Source organism: Homo sapiens, chromosome 7 (assembly GCF_000001405.40).
Source record: "Homo sapiens chromosome 7, GRCh38.p14 Primary Assembly".
Taxonomy (NCBI): domain Eukaryota; kingdom Metazoa; phylum Chordata; class Mammalia; order Primates; family Hominidae; genus Homo; species Homo sapiens.
In genome coordinates, this window is record NC_000007.14 from 44686850 (window position 1) to 44709660 (window position 22811).

The 22811-nt window shown below is 49.6% G+C and overlaps 1 protein-coding gene across 9 annotated transcripts in view, besides 1 other annotated feature; it reads left to right on the forward strand.

Annotated features, from left to right (window-relative positions):
- The window catches only part of OGDH (oxoglutarate dehydrogenase), a 102440-nt gene extending 80223 nt beyond the window's left edge, over positions 1–22217 (forward strand). For all 9 annotated transcript variants that reach the window (NM_001439009.1, XM_011515408.3, NM_001439008.1 and 6 more), the window contains 13 exons: positions 6976–7155; positions 7575–7727; positions 9176–9278; positions 9580–9708; positions 10065–10215; positions 10521–10648; positions 10755–10933; positions 11343–11414; positions 13292–13420; positions 14694–14766; positions 20376–20539; positions 20733–20887; positions 21030–22217. In NM_001439009.1, the coding sequence (NP_001425938.1) occupies positions 6976–7155; positions 7575–7727; positions 9176–9278; positions 9580–9708; positions 10065–10215; positions 10521–10648; positions 10755–10933; positions 11343–11414; positions 13292–13420; positions 14694–14766; positions 20376–20539; positions 20733–20887; positions 21030–21150 (1737 nt within the window). In that variant the 3' untranslated portion in view covers positions 21151–22217. The remainder of the gene's footprint in view (positions 1–6975; positions 7156–7574; positions 7728–9175; positions 9279–9579; positions 9709–10064; positions 10216–10520; positions 10649–10754; positions 10934–11342; positions 11415–13291; positions 13421–14693; positions 14767–20375; positions 20540–20732; positions 20888–21029) is intronic.
- Positions 13645–14145: an enhancer, noted in NCBI's record as "H3K4me1 hESC enhancer chr7:44740093-44740593 (GRCh37/hg19 assembly coordinates)". NCBI's record gives its function as "activates a minimal SCP1, AML or CMV promoter by ChIP-STARR-seq in primed H9 embryonic stem cells {active_cell/tissue: H9 hESC(primed)}" and the evidence as "EXISTENCE:reporter gene assay evidence [ECO:0000049][PMID:30033119]".

Sequence of the window (22811 nt, forward strand, 5' to 3'; positions counted from 1 at the left end):
GCTAATTTTTGTATTTTCAGTAAAGACAGATTTCACTATGTTGGTCAGGCTAGTCTCAAACTCCTGACCTCAGGTGATCCACCCGCCTCAGCCTCCCAAAGTGCTGGGATTACAGGCATGAGCCACCACACCCGGCCATATTTTTCTTTGTCTAGTTTTCAGAAGTTTGATGTATCTTGGCATGAATTTCTTTGGGATTTCTGTTTGGGATATGCTCATGTTTTTAAAAAAATTTTTTTTAATTTTTTTTTTTTTTTTTTTTTTCTGAGATGGAGTCTGGCTCTGTCACCCAGGCTAGAGTGCAGTGGAGTGATCTTGGCTCACTGCAACCTCCACCTCCGAGGTTCAAGCGATTCTCCTGCTTCAGTCTCCTGAGTAGCCGGGACTACAGGCGCTTGCCACCACCCCTGGCTGATTTTTGTATTTTTAGTACAGACAGAGTTTCACCATGTTGGCCAGATTGGTCTTGAACTCCTGAGCTCAAGTGATCCGCCTGCCTTGGCCTCCCAAAGTGCTGGGATTACAGGCATGAGCCACCATGGCCAGCCAAAAAAAAAGAAATTTTTTTTGTTTTTTAAATTTTTAGACAGGTTCTTAACTCTGTTGCCCAGGCTGGGGTGCAGGGGCACAATCTAGACTCACTGCAGCCTCCACCTCCGAGGCTCAAGCAATCCTCCCACTTCAGCCTCCTCAGTAGCTGGGACTATGGCCATGCACCACCACACCTGGCTAATTTTTATGGTTTTTTTTGTAGAGACAGGGTTTCACTGTGTTGACCATGTTGACTGGTCTTGAACTCCTGAGTTCAAGTGATCCACCCTCCTCAGCCTCCCAAAGTGCTTGGGATTACAGGCGTGAGTCACCACACCCGCCTGCTCAACTTTTTTAAATTGTATTTTTTAATAGCTTTATTAAATGTAGTTCACTTATCATGTAATTTACCCCTTTCACAAGTCTGCAATTAAGTGGTTTTTAGTATATTTATAAATACGTGCAACTATCACAGTTGATTTCAGAGTGTTCATCACCTCAAGGAAAAACCTTGCATCCCTTAGTTATCTTACTCCTACCCCTCCATCCTCCCAAGCCCTAAGCAACCACTAATCTACTTTCTGTCTCTATAGATGTATTTATTCTGTAAAGTTCATATTAATTGAATCATACAATATGTGCCCTATATCAGTTGGCGAACGTTTAGATTGTTTCTACTTTTGGGCTATTATAAATAATGCTGCTGTGGGCTGGGCATGGTGGCTCACACCTGTAATCCCAGCACTTTGGGAGGCCGAGGCAGGTGGATCATCTGAGGTCAGGAGTTCAAGACCAGCCTGGCCAACATGATGAAACCCCGTCTCTACTAAAAATACAAAAATTAGCCAGGCGTGGTGGCTCGTGCCTGTAATCCCAGCTACTCTCGAAGCTGCAGCAGGAGAATCGCTTGAACCTGGGAGGCGGAGATTGCGGTGAGCCGAGATCACGCCATTGCACCACAGCCTGGGTGACAGAGCAAGACTCTGTCTCAAAAAATAAAGAAATAAAATAATGCTGCTGTGAACATTTATGTACAAGTGTTTATATATACTTTTTTTTTTTTTTTTTGAGACGGAGTCTCGCTCTGTCGCCCAAGCTGGAGTGCAGTGGTGTGATCTCGGCTCATTGCAAGCTCTGCCTCCCAGGTTCACGCCATTCTCCTGCCTCAGCCTCCCAAGTAGCTGGGACTACAGGCACCCACCACCATGCCCAGCTAATTTTTTGTATTTTTAGTAGAGATGGGGTTTCACCCTGTTAACCAGGATGGTCTCGATCTCCTGACCTCATGATCCGCCAGCCTCGGCCTCCTAGAGTGCTGGGATTACAAGCGTGAGCCACAGCGCCAGGCCTTATATATACATTTTTTGTTGTTGTTTGTTTTTTGTGCCACCTACTCTCCTCTCTGTGGCCCAGGCTGGAGTGCAAGTGGCATAATCTCAGCTCACTGCAACCTCCACTTCCCGGGTTCAAACGATTCTAGTGCCTGAACCTCCCGAGTAGCTGGGACTGTAGGTGTGCACCACCATGCCCGGCTAATTTTTGTATTTTTAGTAGAGATGGGGTTTCGCCTTGTTGGCCAGGCTGGTCTCGAACTCCTGGCCTCAGGTGATCTACCTGCCTCAGCCTCCCAAGGTGCTCTTATTACAGGCATGAGCCACTGTGCCCAGCCTGTGTCTACATATGTTTGAATTCCTTTTCGGGTATATACGTAGGAGTAGAATTGCTAGATCATGTGGTATCTCTGTGTTCAACTTTTTGTGGAAATCTCAGACTGTTTCAAAGTGGCTGTGCCATTTTTACATTCCCACTGGAAATATATCAGGGTTCCTTTTTTTTTTTTTTTTTTTTTTTTTGAGACAGGGTCTTACCCCGTCACCCACGCTGGAGTGCAGTGGTACAGTCTTAGCTCACTGCAACTTCTGCCTCCCAGGTTCTAGCGATTCTTCTGCCTCAGTTTCCCAAGTAGCTGGGATTACAGGCACGCACCACCACTCCCAGCTAATTTTTTTTTCTTTTTTTTTTTTTTTTTTTTTTTTTTGGTAGCAACAGGGTTTTGCCATGTTGCCCAGGCTGGTCTTGAACTCTTGACCTCAAGTTATCCACCTGCCTCAGCCTCCCAGAATGTTGGGATTACACACATGAGCCACCGCACCCCCAGCTAGGATTCCAGTTTTTTCATGTCCTCACCAACTCTTGTTATTGTCTGTTTTATTCTAGCCATCCTAGAAGGTGTGAGGTGATATCTCATTTTGGTTTTAATTTGCATTTCCCTAATGACTAATGATGTGTGTGTCTTTTCATTTGCTTATTGGCTATTTGTATATCTTTGGGGAAATTTCTATTCAGATCCTCTGCCTATTTTTTGACTGGATTGTCTTTTTATTGTTGAGTTGTAAGAGTTCTTTATATATTCTGGATATGAGCCATGTATCCGATGATTTGCAAATATGGGACAATTTTGGTGTCCTTGGAAGCACAAAAGTTTTATTTTTTATCAAGCATAATTTATCTGTTTTTTCTTTTGTTGCTTGTGATTTTTGGTGTCATATCCAAGAAGGCTTTGCCTAATCCGAGGTCACAAAGTTTTACCTCCTATGCTTTCTTCTGAGTCTTATAGTTTTAGCCCTTACATCTATGATCTGTTTTGAGTTAATTTTTGTGCATGGTGCAAAGGAGTCCCGCTTCATTCTTTTGCACTTGGATACTATTTTCAAATATAAATGATTGAGTAGCAAAGCATCTAATGGACAGAGTTAGCTCCAGTGGGTGGCTACAATTACCCAAGAAGCAGATATTAGTTGAATGAAAGGAAGAACTCCTAACAGTGAGACCTGTTCCAACAGGGGAACCAGCTCCTCCAGAAGTTTTGGATTCCTCCTCATTGGAAGTATTGGCACAGCTAGTGAACGAGTTGTCAGGGTTGAAGTAAATGGGAGGGGTGAGAAGGGCTAGAGGTGAGAGGAGAAACCATTTGGCCCTAAAGGTTCCTTTGTCTCCCAGACCAGCTTTTCCTCTTAGCGAGATTTTCCTACTAAAACACTAACTCCCAAAAGTATACTAAGAGAGTACATTGGTGGTATAGTGGTAAGTATAGCTGCCTCAAATAATATACTAAGAGGTATTATTAATACACCCATAGTGGAAAAAAGTACAGCGTATATTTGGAGTATACCTCTGTCATATGTGTGTATGCACAGCCACTAGTATAGATAACCCTGCCGGTAGAGTGCATCTCCATCACACGTGTGTGCACATCCACCCAAGTAGATAATCCTGCTGGTAGAGTGCACCTCCGTCATGTGTGCTGCCATCCATATGTGCATGAAGGCACAGAAGCTCATAACAGTGGTGAACATTGGAGAGGGCAGCTGAGACCTCAACCTTGCAAAATGGGTTTCTTTCTGTGAGGTTCTAGCAGTAAGGCATGTTATGATCACTGACTTCCTGCTGCAGGCCCTTCTTTACATGCTGAAGCCCAAGATGGGCAATGCTGGCTTCAATACCAGCTGAGATTGTTCAGGGCTCTCTTATGTGTCAGGCTCTGATACACCATTTTTTTTTTAATCTCATCAGTGTCTGACTATTTCTGATCATTTCTTTAGTCAGTGTGAGAAGGGAGATTATGTAAAAGCCATTAAACATAAATATAGAGTTAGATTTTGCTAATATTTTCTTTATCTCTTTACTGCTTTGACTCATTGCTCATGAGGTAGTGTGGCATCAGGAAGATCTGTAGAAGGAGAGGAAGTAACTTCTTAGCTGAGTCTCTTATTTCTTTTAGAACATACTTAGAAATTCCCTTCCAGAAATTTCACCTAAGGAAGCCATCTGATGGTAAATATTTTTTCATAAGACTCTTTGTCTGCCAGATGCAATGGCTCAAACCTGTTCCCAATACTTTGGGAGGCCAAGGCAAGAGGATTGCTTGAGCTCAGGAGTTCAAGACCAGCCTGGGCAACAAAGTGAGACCCTGTCTCTACACAAAACAAAACAAAACAAAAATTAGCCAGGCGTGGTGGTACACATCTGTAGTCCCAGCTACTGAGGAGGCTGAGGCAGGAGGATTGCTTGAGCCCGGGAGGTCAAGGCTGCAGTGAGCCGTGATCACACCACTACGTTCCAGCCTGGGCAACAGAGTGAGACCTTCTCTCAAAAAAAAAAAAAAAAAAGGTTTTTGTCAAAACCATATTTGCGCTACCACAAAGTTAGGAAACAAACCTATGTCCAACAGCAGAAGCGTCTTTGCATAAAATTTGGCAAAGCCATAGGAAGGGATATTAAACAACCACTAAAAAAGATTAATATCCTAGGGAATGGCCGGGCACAGTGGCTCACGCCTGTAATCCCAGCACTTTGGGAGGCCGAGGCGGGGGATCACAAGGTCAGGAGATTGAGACCATCCTGGCTAACACCATGAAACCCCATCTCTACTAAAAAAAAAAAATACAAAAAATTAGCCAGGCATGGTGGCAGGCACCTGTAGTCCCAGCTACGCAGGAGGCTGAGGCAGGAGAATGGTGTGAACCCGGGAGGTGGAGCTTGCAGTAAGCAGAGGTGCACCACTGCACTCCAGCCTGGGAGTCACAATGAGACTCTGTCTTAAAAAAAAAAAAAAAAAAAAAAAAGTTTGATATCCTGGGGAAATGGTCACAGTATGGTAAATGGAAATTGCAGGATATTAATATGCTGCTAGTAGGAGTGTAAGTAGAACAGCTACTCAGGAGAGCATTTAGAAAAATTTTAAATGCTCATGCCTGTGGCTCAGTTTTCCCTTTCTAGGATTAGATTGCAAAAAAACTCAGCGTTTGAGGGAGAAAATTTGTATAAGGATGTGTACAGCAACATTGTGTTTACCACAAATTGGAAACAAAAGAAATGTCCACCAACAGGAGAATGGATAAATACTCTGTGGGGTATACTGTGTCTGGTTAAGTTTCACTGGAAAGTAGAGACTAAAGGAAGTATAGCTACATGTTTCAACCTGGGTGTATCATAAAAGCAAATGTTAAAAGGCAAACTGCAAAGTTACCAACAAGCCTCAGAAGATACTATATACTGTTTACGGACATATGAAGTACAAATAGCAACTTGTGGCAGTGTCCTCCTCTGATTTAAGGGTAAGGAGGCCTGCGGGCTTGAGCCTCTGTGACAGAAACATTTTGGTCCACTAACAAATATGGCGAAACCGTTGGGATTTGTTCATGTTAGGTGAAGGCGTTAAGGATGAGCAGTGTGGTATTATCATGCTTTGTGTTTGAAATATATCATAAGATAAAAATTTAAATGCAAACCATAAAATTATGAATATATCATTAAATTTTGGTACATCTAACTGGTAGGGAATGTTATGAAGCCTTTAAATTTTCTTTTCTGGCTGGGTACTGTGGCTCACACCTGTAATCCCAGCATTTTGGGAGGCCGAGGCAGAAGGATCACTTGAGCCCCAAAGTTCAAGACCAGCCCGGGCAACATGGCAAGACCCCATCTCTACAAAAAAAATTTAAAAATTAGCTGGGCCTGGTGGTGCACACCTATAACACCAGCTACACAGAAGGCTGGCATGAGAGGTGAGCTACGATTGCACCACTGCACTCCAGTCTGGTTGACAGACCATGACTCTCTCTTTAAAAAAAAAAAAAAAATTCTTGCTGGGCGTGGTGGCTCACTCCTGTAATCCCAGCACTTTGGGAGGCTGAGGCAGGTGGATCACAAGGTCAGGAGTTCAAAATCAGCCTGGCTAACATAGTGAAACCCCGTCTCTACTAAAAATAACAAAAATTAGCCAGGCATGGTGGTGCGTGCCTGTATTCCCAGCTACTGGGGAGGCTAAGGCAGGATAATCGCTTGAACCCGGGAGGTGGAAGTTGCAGTGAGCTGAGATCACGCCATTGCACTCTGCTTGGGCAACAGAGTGAGACTTCGTCTCAAAAAAAAAAAAAAATTCTTAGGCTGGGCACAGTGCCTCACTCCTATAATAACACTTCGGGAAGCCGAGACAGGAGGATTACTTAGGCCCAGGAGTTTGAGGCCAGCCTGGGCAACATGGTGAGACCCTATCTCTACAAAAAATAAAAAGAATTAATCAAAATAATAGAAATAATAAGATCCCAAATTTAAGTATTTATTTACATATATATGCATACAAAGAAAATAATCTGGAAAGGAAAACATCAGAATATTTACCCCATAGCCTGTGGAATTATAGGTAACTTAATTTAACTTTTCATACTATGTCTTTTAAATTCTCTATGTTAAATATATATGGATTTTGTTATCAGAATAGGAAAAAACAAAGGAAAAGAAAAAGTGTAAACAGCCATTTTGGGGTACGTACTCAGAGTAGCCAGATGGCAAGTGCATGCCATGCCCGGCCTCAGCCCCGCCCTCTGGTCCCTGTGCCGGCTGTGCCAGGTGCCCTCTTGCTAGGCTACATGTTCCTTGCAGATCGGCTTCACCACCGACCCTCGGATGGCCCGCTCCTCCCCCTACCCCACTGACGTGGCCCGAGTGGTGAATGCCCCCATTTTCCACGTGAACTCAGATGACCCCGAGGCTGTCATGTACGTGTGCAAAGTGGCGGCCGAGTGGAGGAGCACCTTCCACAAGGACGTGGTTGTCGATTTGGTGAGTGACTCTGGGGACAGCACGTCCTGGGCAGAGCATCTGACCCACCCCTCTTGCCCTCGGCACCCCTGTGTCCCAAGGAGAGGAGCTTGTCTAGATGAGTCACCTCAGGGCTCTCTACTGCCAGGCCTCATGCTGGTTCCTTTGAGCTCCAAATAGTTCAGGCCTGTAAGCACCAAGGAATGCTTCCCAGGCAGGAGCTGTGGTGGTGAGGAGGGCCACTCCTCATTGACAGAGCAGCTCTACTGTGTGAAGGAGAGATACACAGAATCCTAATTCTAGAGAAGGTAAACTCCAGGGCAGGCATGAGGAATGAAGAACGTGGCCATCACCTAGGAGAGATGGGGCAGGTGCCTGAACAGCACTTCTTCCCAAGGGGCCAGCCCTTGTCTCTGACATCCTCTCACTGCTCTGAGCAGGTGTGTTACCGGCGCAACGGCCACAACGAGATGGATGAGCCCATGTTCACGCAGCCGCTCATGTACAAGCAGATCCGCAAGCAGAAGCCTGTGTTACAGAAGTACGCTGAGCTGCTGGTGTCGCAGGGTGTGGTCAACCAGCCTGAGTATGAGGTACGTCCCTGCGGCTCTATCCCAGTGCGCCTTTCCAGGGCTGGCGATGACTAGAAAAGGTGGGCCACAGGGCCAGTTCTCACTTTTGCCAGTTATGAGGATACACGTGAGAGGATGTGAAATATTTACAACTACAGCATTTCAATGCATAACTTTTTGGAGAATCTGGGCCACTGAGATGCTTTATAAAGGAAGTGGGCCTTAAACAGTGTTTTGGGGAAGGGAAGGGGATGTTTTCAGGTTGAGGTAGTAGCAGCCCAGTAGGTTTTCTCAGATTTCACAAATTGTGCATGGTTGAGAGGTGGGTGGTGGATCCAGCTTGGTAAGGGGCCTGTTGTAATCTGGATAGTAAGTGCTGGTTGGTTGTGAGTGGGAAGGCCAAGCAGCTGCCCTAGAGAGGGAGAGGGTGGGTGTGAGGAGCTATATCTGAGCATGGGAACAGGACAGATCCCAGATCAGAACAACCTGATAGCCTGTAGCCTATGCTGGAGACAGAGCTTTGTGAACCAGTTTTTTTTTTGTTTTGTTTTGTTTTTTGAGACGGAGTCTAGCTCTGTCACCCAGGCTGGAGTGCCGTGGCATGATCTTAGCTCACTGCAACCTCCACCTCCTTACTTCAAGCAGTTTTCATGTCTCAGCGTCCCAAGTACCTGGGATTACAGGTGCGAGCCACCACGCCTAGCTAATTTTTGTATTTTTAGTAGAAACAGGGTTTCCCCGTGTTGGCCAGGCTGGTCTTGAACTCCTGACCTCAAGTGATCTGCCTGTCTTGGCCTCCCAAAGTGCTGGGATTATAGGCATGAGCCACTGCGCCTGGCCTGGACCAGTTCTTAAGAAAAAATGTGGTGGGCTGGGCGTGGTGGCTCATGCCTGTAATTGCAGCACTTTGGGAGACTGAGGCAGGTGGATCATGAGGTCAAGAGATCGAGACCATCCTGGCCAACATGGTGAAACCCCGTCTACTAAAAATACAAAAATTTGCTGGGCGTGGTGGCACGCACTTGTAGTCCCAGCTACTCAGGTGGCTGAGGCAGGAGAATCGCTTGAACCCGGGAGGCGGAAGTTGCAGTGAGGCAAGATCGCGCCATTGCACTCCAGCCTGGTGACAGAGCATGACTCCGTCTCAAAAAAAAAAAAAAAAAGTGGTGAAGGGTTAGGGGTTCAAACTCCGAGCAGAATCTCTACCCAGCAAATGTGAGGAAGAAACTTTTGGGAGTGAAAAGAATAAAATCTTAGAAAGGTGTTATGCCTATTGAGAAGGAGCAGGCCCAGAGGCTGAGATGTTTTGCATCCACGAAGTGTGGGACTATGGGTGGGCATGCACGGGAGTTGTGCCAGGGGTATGGTTGGGCTTGCGTGGTGGCTGTCAGAAAGTGTGGGGGTACAGGTGGGCGTGTGCAGTAGTCATGCCCTGTGCCAGTCACGCTGTGTTGTGCCCAACCCTCCAGGAGGAAATTTCCAAGTATGATAAGATCTGTGAGGAAGCTTTTGCCAGATCTAAAGATGAGAAGATCTTGCACATTAAGCACTGGCTGGACTCTCCCTGGCCTGGTGAGTGAAGAAACAGTGCCACAAATAAGCTCCTTTGAGGATCTGATGTAACGAGGCATCCTCTTCCCAGAAAAAATTCATGCTTTCCACTTTGTACCCACAATGCACAGTTGTATGCACCATTTCAGCAAAGCCCCCTGCAGACCCTGGACCCAGACCCCTGCATTAATGTTTTCTGGGGAACACAGTGTGAGCTACATTGTCTCTCACCCTGCTTCTCCCCAAAATCACGTGTCTGCCATTTTGTGGTCCCTGGAAAAGTAGAGCAGATGTCATGCCTCAGTTGTTCTTCTTCTCCTAGGCTTCTTCACCCTGGACGGGCAGCCCAGGAGCATGTCCTGCCCCTCCACGGGTCTGACGGAGGATATTCTGACACACATCGGGAATGTGGCTAGTTCTGTGCCTGTGGAAAACTTTACTATTCATGGAGGTAACACGCTCTGTGCTGACCTGTGGAAATGTTGGGGCCCAGGCCAGGGGCGACGACTGTCTAGGACTGTGACCTTGGCCCCCACCCATCATGTGTCCTACAGAGACTCCCTTCCTGCCCTGCTCAAGGCCTCTGGGGTGGTTGGATGGAGCCACCTCTCCCACTCCCTGCCCTTAGCACGATCCTACACTTCCTCAGTGGTAAAGGAGAGACTGAGGTCACAGCTTTTCCAGCAAGTCAGGAACCCAGAAACTACGAGTAAAGAAGGCTCCGCTCTTGCCATGGGCACGCTGAGAAGCAAGGCAGGCATGTGCAGGCAGGGCCTGCAGCAGCTGGTGAGAGCTGTGTCTCTGCAGGGCTGAGCCGGATCTTGAAGACTCGTGGGGAAATGGTGAAGAACCGGACTGTGGACTGGGCTCTAGCGGAGTACATGGCGTTTGGCTCGCTCCTGAAGGAGGGCATCCACATTCGGCTGAGCGGCCAGGACGTGGAGCGGGGCACATTCAGGTAACGTTCTGGGCAGTTTTGTTTGCCCTCCAAAGAGTAGAAGATGGAAAGGGAGGGGTTCTGGTGTTTCTTTTCCGGAAGACGGTTAGAAACCGGAAGAGTCACATTGCTCTCAGGCTGAAAACCTCTGTCCCTCATTTGCTATGGGTGCTTCTGTTAAGACCTGGGTGGGGCCGACCCTGCAGCTGCCTGGCCAGAAGTCCAGGTCACAGAGCATGGCATCTGCTGGTGCTTCGTGCGGGTCCCCAGCGTATTTGCTTGTCAAGTCAGAGCTCCTAATTATTACCTCTGTTGTCCTGTCTCAGCCACCGCCACCATGTGCTCCATGACCAGAATGTGGACAAGAGAACCTGCATCCCCATGAACCATCTCTGGCCCAATCAGGCCCCCTATACTGTGTGCAACAGCTCACTGTCTGAGTACGGCGTGCTGGGTGAGTGCCTGGAGCCACACCACCAGGGCCTGTCACCCACCCACCCCCGCTGGGCCTACTGGCTGGTGTCCTGGACATGGTTTTCTCCTTCCTTTGTCCCTTGTAGGCTTTGAGCTGGGCTTCGCCATGGCCAGTCCTAATGCCCTGGTCCTCTGGGAAGCCCAATTTGGTGACTTCCACAACACGGCCCAGTGTATCATCGACCAGTTCATCTGCCCGGGACAAGCCAAGTGGGTGCGGCAGAATGGCATCGTGTTGCTGCTGCCCCATGGCATGGAGGGCATGGTGAGCCTCTGGCCCTTCCCTGCCAGACCTAGGACTTGGGAAGGGCCTGTGTAGGACCCTGACCCCAAAGACTGGCACGAGAGCCAGTGGCTCACACCAGCCTCCTAAGGACTCTGCTGGTGCTTCCCATCCATCTCAGATGGGATGTCACTTCAGAAAGCCAGAGTAGCCCATCTGGATGTGGCTAGCATGCCCCGTCCCTGCTGGTGCAGACTCCCTAGATGCACAGGCGTCCAAGTGTGGAAATGATGAGCCAAGTGCTTTGCTGGTGGGAGGGGGAAGGAACTGAACCCTGCCATCAAGAAAAAAGATAACCAGAAATGAGCTAGTTGGTTGAGGAGGAACAGCAGATGCGGCAAATGTCAGTACGCAAGAGCTCTTAAACTGTAACTTGCGTGTGTGGTTCCAGGGTCCAGAACATTCCTCCGCCCGCCCAGAGCGGTTCTTGCAGATGTGCAACGATGACCCAGATGTCCTGCCAGTGAGTAATACAGGCCCTGTCAGCCCAGCCATTCTCGGGGTGTCTGGTGGGAAACCTGGGGAAGAGCAATCTATCTGGTCATCCTGAAGTGGCAGACCGTGCCTCTGTCCCTTTCTCCATCCTGGGGAGCTCACGTGAGTGGACAGGTGTGGCCCCATGCTTCTGGGCGCCCTGGGATGAGAGACTTCCTCAGAGCACAGAGGAAGGTGCAGGGACTGCCTCCATTGGCTTCCTGCTGTTGCTGCAAGCACAGAAACGCCATGTGAGCTCCTCAGCAAGGGCTCCTGCGGGATGCTTCCAGACCCTGATTCAGGTCTGGAAGCCCTGAGGAGGAGAGAACTTTGGGGCGATTCCAGTGAAACTTTAAGAACTCAAAGAACCAGCCTGGGCAACATGGTGAGACCCCGTCTCTACAAAAATTTTAAAAAGTAGCTGGGCGTGATGGTGCACGCCTGCAGTCCCAGCTACTTGGGAGGCTGAGGTGGGAGGATTGCTTGAGCTTGGGAGGTCAAGGCTGCAGTGAGCCAAGATCGTGCCACTGCACTCCAACCTGGGTGACAGAGCAATACCCTGTCTTAAAAAAAAAAAAAAAAAGAACTGTGCTGGGTGTGGTGGCTCAAGCCTGAAATCCCAGCACTTTGGGAGGCCCAGGCAGGCGGATCATGAGGTCAGGAGTTTGAGACCAGCCTGGCCAATATGGTGAAACCCTGTCTTTACTAAAAATACAAAAACTAGCTGGGCATGGTGGCGCCCACCTGTAATCCCAGCTAGTCTGAGGCTGAGGCAGGAGAATTGCTTAAACCCGGGAAGCAGAGGTTGCAGTGAGCCAAGATTGTGCCGCTGCACTCCAGCCTGGGCAGCTCCGTCTCACAAAAAAAGAACTGGCCAGGCGCAGTGGCTCACGCCTGTAAGCTCAACACTTTGGAGGCCCAGGCAGGTGGATCACGAGGCCAGGAGTTTGAGACCACCCTGGCCAATATAGTGAAACCCCGTCTCTACTAAAAATACAAAAATTATTCAGGCGTGGTGGCGGGCACCTGTAGTCCCAACTACTCAGGAGGCTGAGGCAGAGAATCGCTTGAACCCGGGAGGTGGAGGTTGCAGTGAGCCAAGATTGCGCCACTGCACTCCAGCCTAGGCGACAGAGGGAGACTCCTGTCTCAAAAAAAAAAAAAAAAAAAAAAAACTCAAAGAAAATGATTAGGTGTCAGTGTCTAAGGAAAATTGGTTTTAGGTAGAACTTGTGTCTCTTAAAGTGGTATTTGTTTCATGCTGGGCAATAGCTTTCAGAGAAATAGTATGGATTGAGTGGGACTGAGGCTCTCCTCCAGGGTATGAGGCTGGCCGAAGGAGCTTGCTGGACTCACTTGTTAGTGTCAGCTTATGTCTCCTGGGGAGTCAGTGTGTTAGGCCATTCTTGTGTTGCTATAAAGAAAAACCTGAGACTGGGTAATTTATAAAGAAAAGTTTAATTGGCTCACAGTTCTGTAGGCTGTACAGGAAGCATGATGCTGGCATCTGCTCAGCTTCTGGGGAGGCCTCAGGAAGCTTACAATCATGACAGAAGATGAAGTGGGAGAGCAGGCATGTCACATGGCCAGAGCAGGAGTAAGAGAGTGGGGGAGAGGGGCCACACACTTTCAACAACCAGATCTCGTGTGAACTCAGAGTGAGAGCTCACTCATCACCAAGGGGATGGCCCAAGCTCTAATCCTAACACCTCCCACCAGGCCCCACCTCCAGCAGTGGGAGATTACAATTCAACATGAGATTTGGGCAGGGACAAATATCCAAACTAGATCACCTGAGGGCCCCCACATGCCCCAGAAGACTCAGTGCTGTGTCCTGGCCTCTGGCCATTTCCTTCCCTGCTGCAGGACCTTAAAGAAGCCAACTTCGACATCAATCAGCTATATGACTGCAATTGGGTTGTTGTCAACTGCTCCACTCCTGGCAACTTCTTCCACGTGCTACGACGCCAGATCCTGCTGCCATTCCGGAAGCCGGTCAGTGGCAGGGCCTCCCTTGCTCAAACGAGGCCTGGCCCTGCCCTGTTGGTGCAGGGAAGGGCTCCTCAGAGAGCCTCTTGCTTGGGGTTAGCTAGGTGGGCACCTGCAGGGGTAGTGTGGACAGGACATGGTGTCAGGGAGCCTCGCCCTTCCTCCTCACTGCTGCCATGAGGGAACTGCGTGTTCTGTGTGTCCTCTTCCCCGACTGGGCCCCTGCATACTGCTGAGCACCACATGCGGAGCAATCACATAGGCTGCAGGCCCCAGCCCGGTGGGGAGGACGGATGTTTGAACAGGTGGTCATAGGGGGTGTGCTGAGCTCTGGAAGAGAGGTGAGCCCTGGCAGAGGCCAAGGGAGTGCAGGGTCCCCAGGGAGCGGCTCCTGAGCTGGGTGTTGAAGGGTGAGTAGAAGTTGAGTGGAGGGATACGTTGGAGAAGTGATTCATAAAAAGGAAGGAGGCCGGGCGAGGTGGCTCACGCCTGTAATCCCAGCACTTTGTGAGGCCGAGGCAGGTGGATCATGAGGTCAGGAGATGGAGACCATCCTGGCTAGCACAGTGAAACCCCGTCTCTACCAAAAAAAATACAAAAAAATTAGCCGGGCATGACAGCGGGCACTTGCAGTCCCAGCTACTTAGGAGGCTGAGGCAGGAGAATAGGAGAATAGCGTGAACCCGGGAGGCGGAGCTGGCAGTGAGCCGAGATCGCACCACTGCACTCCAGCCTGGGCAACAGAGCGAGACTCCGTCTCAAAAAACAAAAAAAAGGAAGGAGTGTGGGGGACAGCGAGGGAGTGCCCTGCTGCCCTGGGATACCGCGGGGGTGGGAGTATGGGGTGGAGGCTTGCAGCTCGGAGTGTCCCCAGCAGTCCAAGGGCCCACAGGGCAGGACAGCCCTGGTGCTTCTTGGTGCTGGGCCATGTCACAGCCTTACATGGGCTTTGGGTGCATTTGCTCTGAGACTGCCAAGGAGAGGGTCAGAGCTCTTTCCTAGGTACAGAGAAGCAGGGAAGGGAGTATTGGGAGTCCGAGCAGGCTGGGATGGGCCCTGCCAGGAGTGGATACCCAGCTAGGGGAGGTGAACAGCAGGGAAATTGGTCATCTTTCCTTTTCCCTCCTTCTCTGCCTCTTCTGACCTGAGGCTCCTGTTGAGTGGGAGGGCAGGTGTGTTTCATGGCCTGAAGGTCAAGGCTTGGGTAGCCTTGCTTTTGACCTTCCTTCTGGAATCTTCAGAATCTGATCCTTCACGAGCCTATTGTTCTGTATTTCAGTTAATTATCTTCACCCCCAAATCCCTGTTGCGCCACCCCGAGGCCAGATCCAGCTTTGATGAGATGCTTCCAGGTGGGTGTGAGGGAGATGGGCATTTCCTTGGGGGAAGCTATGTTTGGGGCTTCTTTGCTGCTGCTCTTTTACAGCTCATGGGACTGACATTTGTGATTCTCACTGGCTCTTGCCAGATTTTTGGTTGTAAAGACCCGTGATACATGGCTGGGCACAGTGGCTCACGCCTGTAATCCCAGCACTTTGGGAGGCCGAGGCAGGCAGATCATCTGAGGTCAGGAGTTCGAGGGCAGATCACCTGAGGTCGGGAGTTCGAGACTAGCCTGACCAACATGGAGAAACGCCATCTCCACTAAAAATACAAAATTAGCCAGGCGTAGTGCCACATGTCTGTAATCCCAGCTACTCAGGAGGCTGAGGCAGGAGAATTGCTTGAACCCAGGAGGTGGACGTTGCAGTGAGCTGCTATCACGCCATTGCACTCCAGCCTGGGCAATAAGAGCAAAACTCCGGCACAAAAAAAAAAAAAAAAGTCCCATGATACCAGATGAGGGAGGTCACAGCTTACATTCACGTTGGTCAAATGACATGTCTTAACATGCAGCCCAGGAGCTGTTGCCTCTCACCTGCAAATGCCCCCAAGGACTCCACTAGAGGCAATTAAGTATGTCCAAGATTGAGGGTTAGTGCCGCTGCCTGCGGCCTCCTTCAGCAGGTGAGTGGCAGCTCACCACTGGCTCAGAGGCCCAGCCCCAAAGCAAGCCCTTCAGGACAGAGAAAAAAACACTGGACGGCAGGTCCTGCCAAGTCACATGCCAGCTGCACTTGTGTGAAGGGAGACCCATAACATTGAGATTTCTATAGGGACAGTGGAGTGCAGGATGTTGACACAGCCTTTACCACCCACCAGGGGTCACCAGGCCAGGAAGCCTGCATCCCACCAGTCACCAAACCCCCTTTAGTCTTCAATCAAGGTGAGCCCCTTGTTTTTTGGGGGTTTTTTCCCAATCTTTTTTTATTTTTAATTTTATTTATTTATTTATTTATTTATTTTTGAGACGGAGTCTCGCTCTATCGCTCAGGCTGGAGTGTGGTGGCACAATCTCGACTCACTGCAAGCTCCACCTCCCGGGTTCACGCCATTCTCCCACCTCAGCCTCCCAAGTAGCTGGGACTGCAGGCGCCCGCCACCACGCCTGGCTAATTTTGTTTTTGTATTTTTAGTAGAGACGGGGTTTCACCGTGTTAGCCAGGATGGTGTCAATCTCCTGACCTCATGATCCACCCATCTTGGCCTCCTAAAGTGCTGGGATTACAGGCATGAGCCACCATGCCCAGCCCCCAGTCTTTTTTTATTATGGTAAAATACACAACATAAAATTTACCATTTTGACCATTTTTAAGTATCCAGTTCAGTGTGTTACTGCCTCTATAAATTTGACTACTCTATGGAACTCATAAGTGAAATCATACAGTCTTTGTCCCTTGCGACTGGCTTGTTTCATTTAGTATAATGTCTGCGAGGTCCATCCATGTTGTGTAGCATGTGTCAGAATTTCTTTTTTTTTAAGACTGAATAGCCAGGCATGGTGGCTCATGCCTATAATCCCAGCACTTTGGGAGTTCGAGGCAGGTGGATCACTTGAGGTCACAAGTTTGAGACGAGCCTGGCCAACAGGGTGAAACCCCGTCTCTATTAAAAATACAAAAATTAGCAGGGTGTGGTGGTGCACGCCCTGCTACTCTGGAGGCTAAGGCAGGAGAATTGCTTGAACCCGGGAGGCAGAGGTTGCAGTGAGCTGAGATTGCACCACTGCACTACAGCCTGGGCAACAGAGTAGGACTCCATCTCAAAACAAAACAAAACAAAAAAGACTGAATAGGCTGGGCCCAGTGGCTTACACCTGTAATCTCAGCACTTTGGGAGGCTGAGGCAGGTCGATCACTTGAGGTCACGAATTTGAGACCAGCTTGACCAATATGATGAAACCCCATCTCTACGAAAAATACAAAAATTAGCTGGGCATGGTGGCGCGCACCCGTAATCCCAGCTACTCAGGATGCTGAGGCAGGAGAATTGCTTGAACCTGGGAGGCAGAGGTTGCAGTGAGCCAAGATTGCGCCACTGCATTCCAGCCTGGGTGACAGAGACTCCGTCTCAAAAAAAATAAATAAATAAACTAGCCGGGGGTGGTGGCGCATACCTGTAATCCCAGCTACTCAGGAGGCTGAGGCAGGAGAATCACTTGAACATGGGAGGCAGAGGTTGTGGTGAGCCAAGATCACGCCGTTGCACTCCAGCCTGGACAACAAGAGCGAAACTCCGTCTCAAAAAAAAAAAAAGACTGAATAATACTCCATTATATGTGTATGCCACATTTTGCTCATCCATTCATCTGTCGATGGACACTTGGGTTGCTTCCATGTTTCAGCTATTATGATTAGAGGAGCTGCTATGAACATTGGTGTACAAATATTTCTTTGAGTCCCTGCTTTCAGTTCTTTTGAATATGTACTCAGAAGTGGAATTGCTGGACCATATGGTAATTCTATTTTTAGTTTTTTGAGGAACTGCCAAACTTTCCACAGTGGCTGCATTTTACATCCCACCAACAGTATATGAGGATCCCACCATCTCTACATCCTCATCAGCACCTACTATTTTCTGGTTTTTTCATAGTAGCCATCTTAATGGGTGTGAGATGATATTTCATTGTGGCTTTGATTTATATTTCTGTAATGATTAAGTGATGTTGAGCATCTTTTCATATGCTTATTGGCCACTTGTATATCTTCCTTGGAGAACTGTCTATTAAAATCCTTTTTTTTTTTAATTTAATTTTTTTTAAGAGACAGGATCTCTCTATGTTGCCCAGGCTAGTCTTGAACTCCTGGGCTCAAGGAATCCTCCTACTTTGGCCTCAAAGTATTGAGATTACAGGCATGAGCCACGGTACCCAGCCTATTCAAATTATTTGCCCATTTTTGAATCTGGTTGCTTGTTTTTGAGTCTTAAGAGTTCTCTGTATATTCTAGATATTAATTCCTTATCAGAAATATAATTTGCAAATATTTTCTCCCGTTCTATGGGTTGTTCTTTTATTCTGTTGTTAGTATCTTTGGTTTTGGTTTTGGGTTTGGGTGTTTTTTTTGTTTGTTTTTTGTTTTTTTCCGAGATGGAGTCTTACTCTGTTACCCAGGCTGGAGTGCATTAGTGCAATCTCAGCTCACTGCAACCTCTGCCTCCCAGGTTCAAGTGATTCTCCTGCCTCAGCCTCCCAAGTAGCTGGGATTACAGGCGCACGCCACCATGCCTAGCTAATTTTTGTATTTTTAGTATAGACAGGGTTCCACCATGTTGACCAGGCTGGTCTTGAACTCCTGACCTCAGGTGATCTGCCCACCACAGCCTCCCAAAGTGCTGGGATTACAGGCGTGAGGCACTGCACCTGGCCTGTTGTTAGTATCTTTTGATGTACAAAAGTTTTTAATTTTCTTTTTTTTTTTTTTTTTTTGAGACGGAGTCTCGCTCTGTCGCCCAGGCTGGAGTGCAGTGGCGGGATCTCGGCTCACTGCAAGCTCCACCTCCCGGGTTCACGCCATTCTCCTGCCTCAGCCTCCCAAGTAGCTGGGACTACAGGCGCCCGCCACTACGCCCAGCTAATTTTTTGTATTTTTAGTAGAGACGGGGTTTCACCGTTTTAGCCGGGATGGTCTCGATCTCCTGACCTCGTGATCCGCCCGCCTCGGCCTCCCAAAGTGCTGGGATTACAGGCGTGAGCCACCGCGCCCGGCCAAGTTTTTAATTTTCATGAAGTCAGATTTGTCTATTTTTTCTTCAGTTGCCTGTGACTTTGGTGTCATATCTAAGAAATCATTACCAAATTCAGTGTTGTGAAACTTTTGCCCTATGTTTTCTTCTGAGTTTTATAGTTTTTGCTCTTATGTTTAGATCTTTGACCCACTTTGAGCTAATTTGTTTTGTTTTTTATTTTTTGTTTGTGTTTTTTTGAGACAGAGTCTCACTCTGTCATCCAGGCTGATGCAATCGTAGCTCACTGCAGCCTCAATTCCTGGGCTCAAGTGATCCTCCTACTTTGGCCTCCCAGAGTACTGGGATTACATGTGTGAGCCACTGTGCCCAGACTTTTATTCTGTTTGTATCATAAATGGAATTGTTGGCCTAATTTCCTCTTCTTATTGTTCATTGTTAGTGTATAGAAACACAACTGGTTTTGGTTACGTGCATATGATGCGTAGTGCTTAAGTCAGGGTATTAGGGTGTCCGTCACCCGAGTACGATACATGTTTGTTAACCTTACTCCTTTATCAAACGTTGAACTTAATTCCTTCTATCTAACTGTATGTTTGTACCATTCAACCCACTTTTCTATATTTTTTTGAGATAGATTCTTACCCTGTCACCCAGGTTGGAGTGCAGAGGCATGGTCATCATGGTTCACTGTAACCTCTGCCTCCCAGGCTAGAGTGATTCTCCCACCAAAGCCTCCCAAGTAGCTGGGAACACAAGGTGTGCACCACCGTGCCTGGCTAATTTTTGTACTTTTGTAGAGACGGAGTATCACCATGTTGCCCAGGCTGGTCTCGAACTCCTGAGCTCAAGGGATCCTCCTGCCTCAGCCTCCCAAAGTGCTGGCCAACCCACTGTTCTCTATCTGAATATTTTCTCTGATTGTGTTGAAAGTTTTTATATTTGTAAAATTCTGAGCAGCAGAAACAGAGTAAACATGGGATTTTTTTTATATAATTTTTTTTTTTTTTTGAGATGGAGTTTTGCTCTTGTTGCCCAGGCTGGAGTGCAATGGCGCATTCTTGGCTCACCACAACCTCCGCCTCCCGGGTTCAAGCAATTCTCCTGCCTCGGCCCCCCGAGTAGCTGAGATTACAGGCATGCGCCACCATGCCTGGCTTATTTTGTATTTCTAGTAAAGACAGGGTTTCACCATGTTGGTCAGTCTGGTCTCGAACTCCTGACCTCAGGTGATCCGCCTGCCTCAGCCTCCCAAAGTGCTGGGATTTACAGGCGTGAGCCATGCGCCCGGCTGGTATTTTTTTTTTTTTTTGTCTGGAGATGGAGTCTTGCTCTGTTGCCCAGACTGTAGTGCATGATCTCAGCTCACTGCAACCTCTGCCTCCCGGGCCCAACCGATTCTTCCACCTCAGCCTCCCGAGTAGCTGGGACCACAGGCGCACACCACCATGCCTGGCTCATTTTTTGTATTTTTTTAGTAGAGACGGGGTTTCACCATGTTGCCCAGGCTGGTCTCGAACTCCTGAACTCAGGCAATCCGCCCGCCTCAGCTTCCCAAAGTGCTAGGATTGCAGGCGTGAGCCACCGCACCCGGCCGGGATGTTTTAATAATACTCTTGTCCCCGAAGTCTGAGCCAAGCTGTTTTGAAGGCTAGCCTGGTGTTACTTGATACCCAGAGCTGGCCATGTCTGCTGTGTATTTGTTACACGTAACGTGCTTTTCAAAGTGTGCCTGGTCTGAGCAAATACAGGGCATCAGAGGCTGGTGAAGGGGAAGCATCTCTAACCCTTGAAAGCTGCGTCTCCTGGCAGCAGTCCCTGGCACAGCCCTGGGCCCAGGAGAGCTCTCAGCCACATACCTGAGAGAACCAGCCTAGCCATGGGAACTCTCTTGTAGGAACCCACTTCCAGCGGGTGATCCCAGAAGATGGCCCTGCAGCTCAGAACCCAGAAAATGTCAAAAGGCTTCTCTTCTGCACCGGCAAAGTGTATTATGACCTCACCCGGGAGCGCAAAGCACGCGACATGGTGGGGCAGGTGGCCATCACAAGGATTGAGCAGGTGAGGGCAGGTGGTGCCATCAGGGTGTCCCCCCAGCGGGGGTCAGGGCTCTGGTGCCTTCACAGAACAGCCTTGCTTGGGGTGTGGCCCTCAGGTTCCTGACCTTCCCTGCTCGGAACACCAGTTTCCCTTTGCTGGATCTTGCCTGCCCTCTGAGTTTCCTCTTTTTGATCTGACCCCTGCTGTCTCCTAGCTGTCGCCATTCCCCTTTGACCTCCTGCTGAAGGAGGTGCAGAAGTACCCCAATGCTGAGCTGGCCTGGTGCCAGGAGGAGCACAAGAACCAAGGCTACTATGACTACGTGAAGCCAAGACTTCGGACCACCATCAGCCGCGCCAAGCCCGTCTGGTAAGGCTTCAGTCCCTGCCAGGAAGGCTGTGGGACCCTCCCCTCAGGCCAGTAGGCAGTTAGCCAGGCACATGCAGCAGAGGGATGGGCTGGGCCAACTCAGTGTCCCCTGCCCTCACTGCCCCCTCCCTCCATCTCTCAGGTATGCCGGCCGGGACCCAGCGGCTGCTCCAGCCACCGGCAACAAGAAGACCCACCTGACGGAGCTGCAGCGCCTCCTGGACACGGCCTTCGACCTGGACGTCTTCAAGAACTTCTCGTAGATGCTGCCTAGGGTTGCTTGGGCCACTGCCCTCTCCACACCCATGACTGCCCCTTGCTTCTCAACTAAAGAATAGTGCCTCAGCGCTGCCCACACCACCGCCCTCCTCGCTGTGCCACCACCCCTCCCTCTGCTCTCATAGGAGTTAGGCTGTCGTCCCCCTCCAGTGCTTGGCTGCCCCACAGGCCACACGCTGCCCAGGCTCTGCTGACTTCTGAGCAGTTTTCCAGGAGGCCGGGGGGAGCAGGAGGAGGAAAGGTAGCCCCCGAGGGATGTCCTTGGGGAGGGGTCAGCTCTGGCCACAATCCTCCCCACCAGTCTCACCCACTAGGATAGGAACTGGGCCTTGTGTGCTGGCTTCCGCTGTCACCCAGCAAGGCACAGGCTCCTGTATTTGAGACTAGGATAGCTTCATCTTGAGCCTGAGCCTTAGAATCTGTAGAGGAGCCTGGAGTCGGATCTAGCCATGGCTGGCAGAGGTTTCTAGGGTGGGCCCCAGCCGTGGCGTGAACTGAGGATGACCCGGGGCAGCTGGCAGGAGAGAGCCTTGGCCTGACCTGGCACAGAAAGGGCAGCTTCAGTCTCTGCAGTGTCCATTATCTGCTGTTCCTTCGAGGGTTCCAGGCTGTGTGTGGGGCCCAAGCATGCCCCACCCACCCCTCCTGGGCCCAGGCAGCACCTGGAGCCCACAGAGTCTGTGTGTAGCCAGGAAGCCCCGCTCAGGTAGCCACCACCGGGGCACTGGCTGCTCTGTCTTGGTCCTGTTAACCCTCCACCTCCTCTCTTGGACTCCCTCCCCACCCCAACCACTCTTTCTTTCTCCTTTAACCCAATGGAGACTTTCTGATGCATCGTTTTCTTTGCTGTGCCAAAGCAGGTCAGAAGAGGGAGAGGAGGGGCTGGGGGTGAGGGGCCAGGCCATGGCCAAGGGGCCAGCTGCCCCTCATTTATCACTCTGACCTTCACAGGGACAGATCTGATTTATTTATTTTGGTTAAAAAAAAAAAAAAGGAACAGAAACAACTTTGCATTGCATTGGCTTGACCCATAAACTAAGTTATATCCGTGGGCATGTCTGCTGTGTCTTTCTGTCTGTTCTGCCTTCTCCCCTGAGGGGATGGGGATGGGCCAGTCCCCTCCTAACCCACCTGGGAAGCAGCCCCCTCCTCATTGGACAGGGGGAGTGATGACCACCACCTGCAGGCCCTCGCCGGCAAAGCCGTCATTGTGAATGCGGCAGAGGCGGCCTGGGCTGCCGGGCTGTTTGGGTGCAGTCCTGTTTCTGAGCTTTCCCTGCTCTGGGTCCTTCCCCTGGCTCCACCTTGAAAAAGTACTCTGCACTCTGTGCCTCTCCGTTTGAGCCAGCGTGCCTGCGGGTTCACCCTAACCACACGTTTGTTAATTAGTGCTCCCCAGAGCCCAAGCAACGATTCCAACCTGGAGATGGGGCCTCTCACCAGCACACACCTGGGTCCCCTCTGGCCAAGAGCTTCATCCCATAACAAGCCAGGTATTGGCTTCCTGAGCACTCAACCAATCTCACCCCTGAGGAAGAGCTTAAGTGGGGTCAAGCCTCTGACCCACCACCCTGTTCTCTAGGGAGCACCTGCCTGGGTCCCCGGATTTGTCCTGTTGTCGCTTTGCAGCATGGCCCAAGGTTCT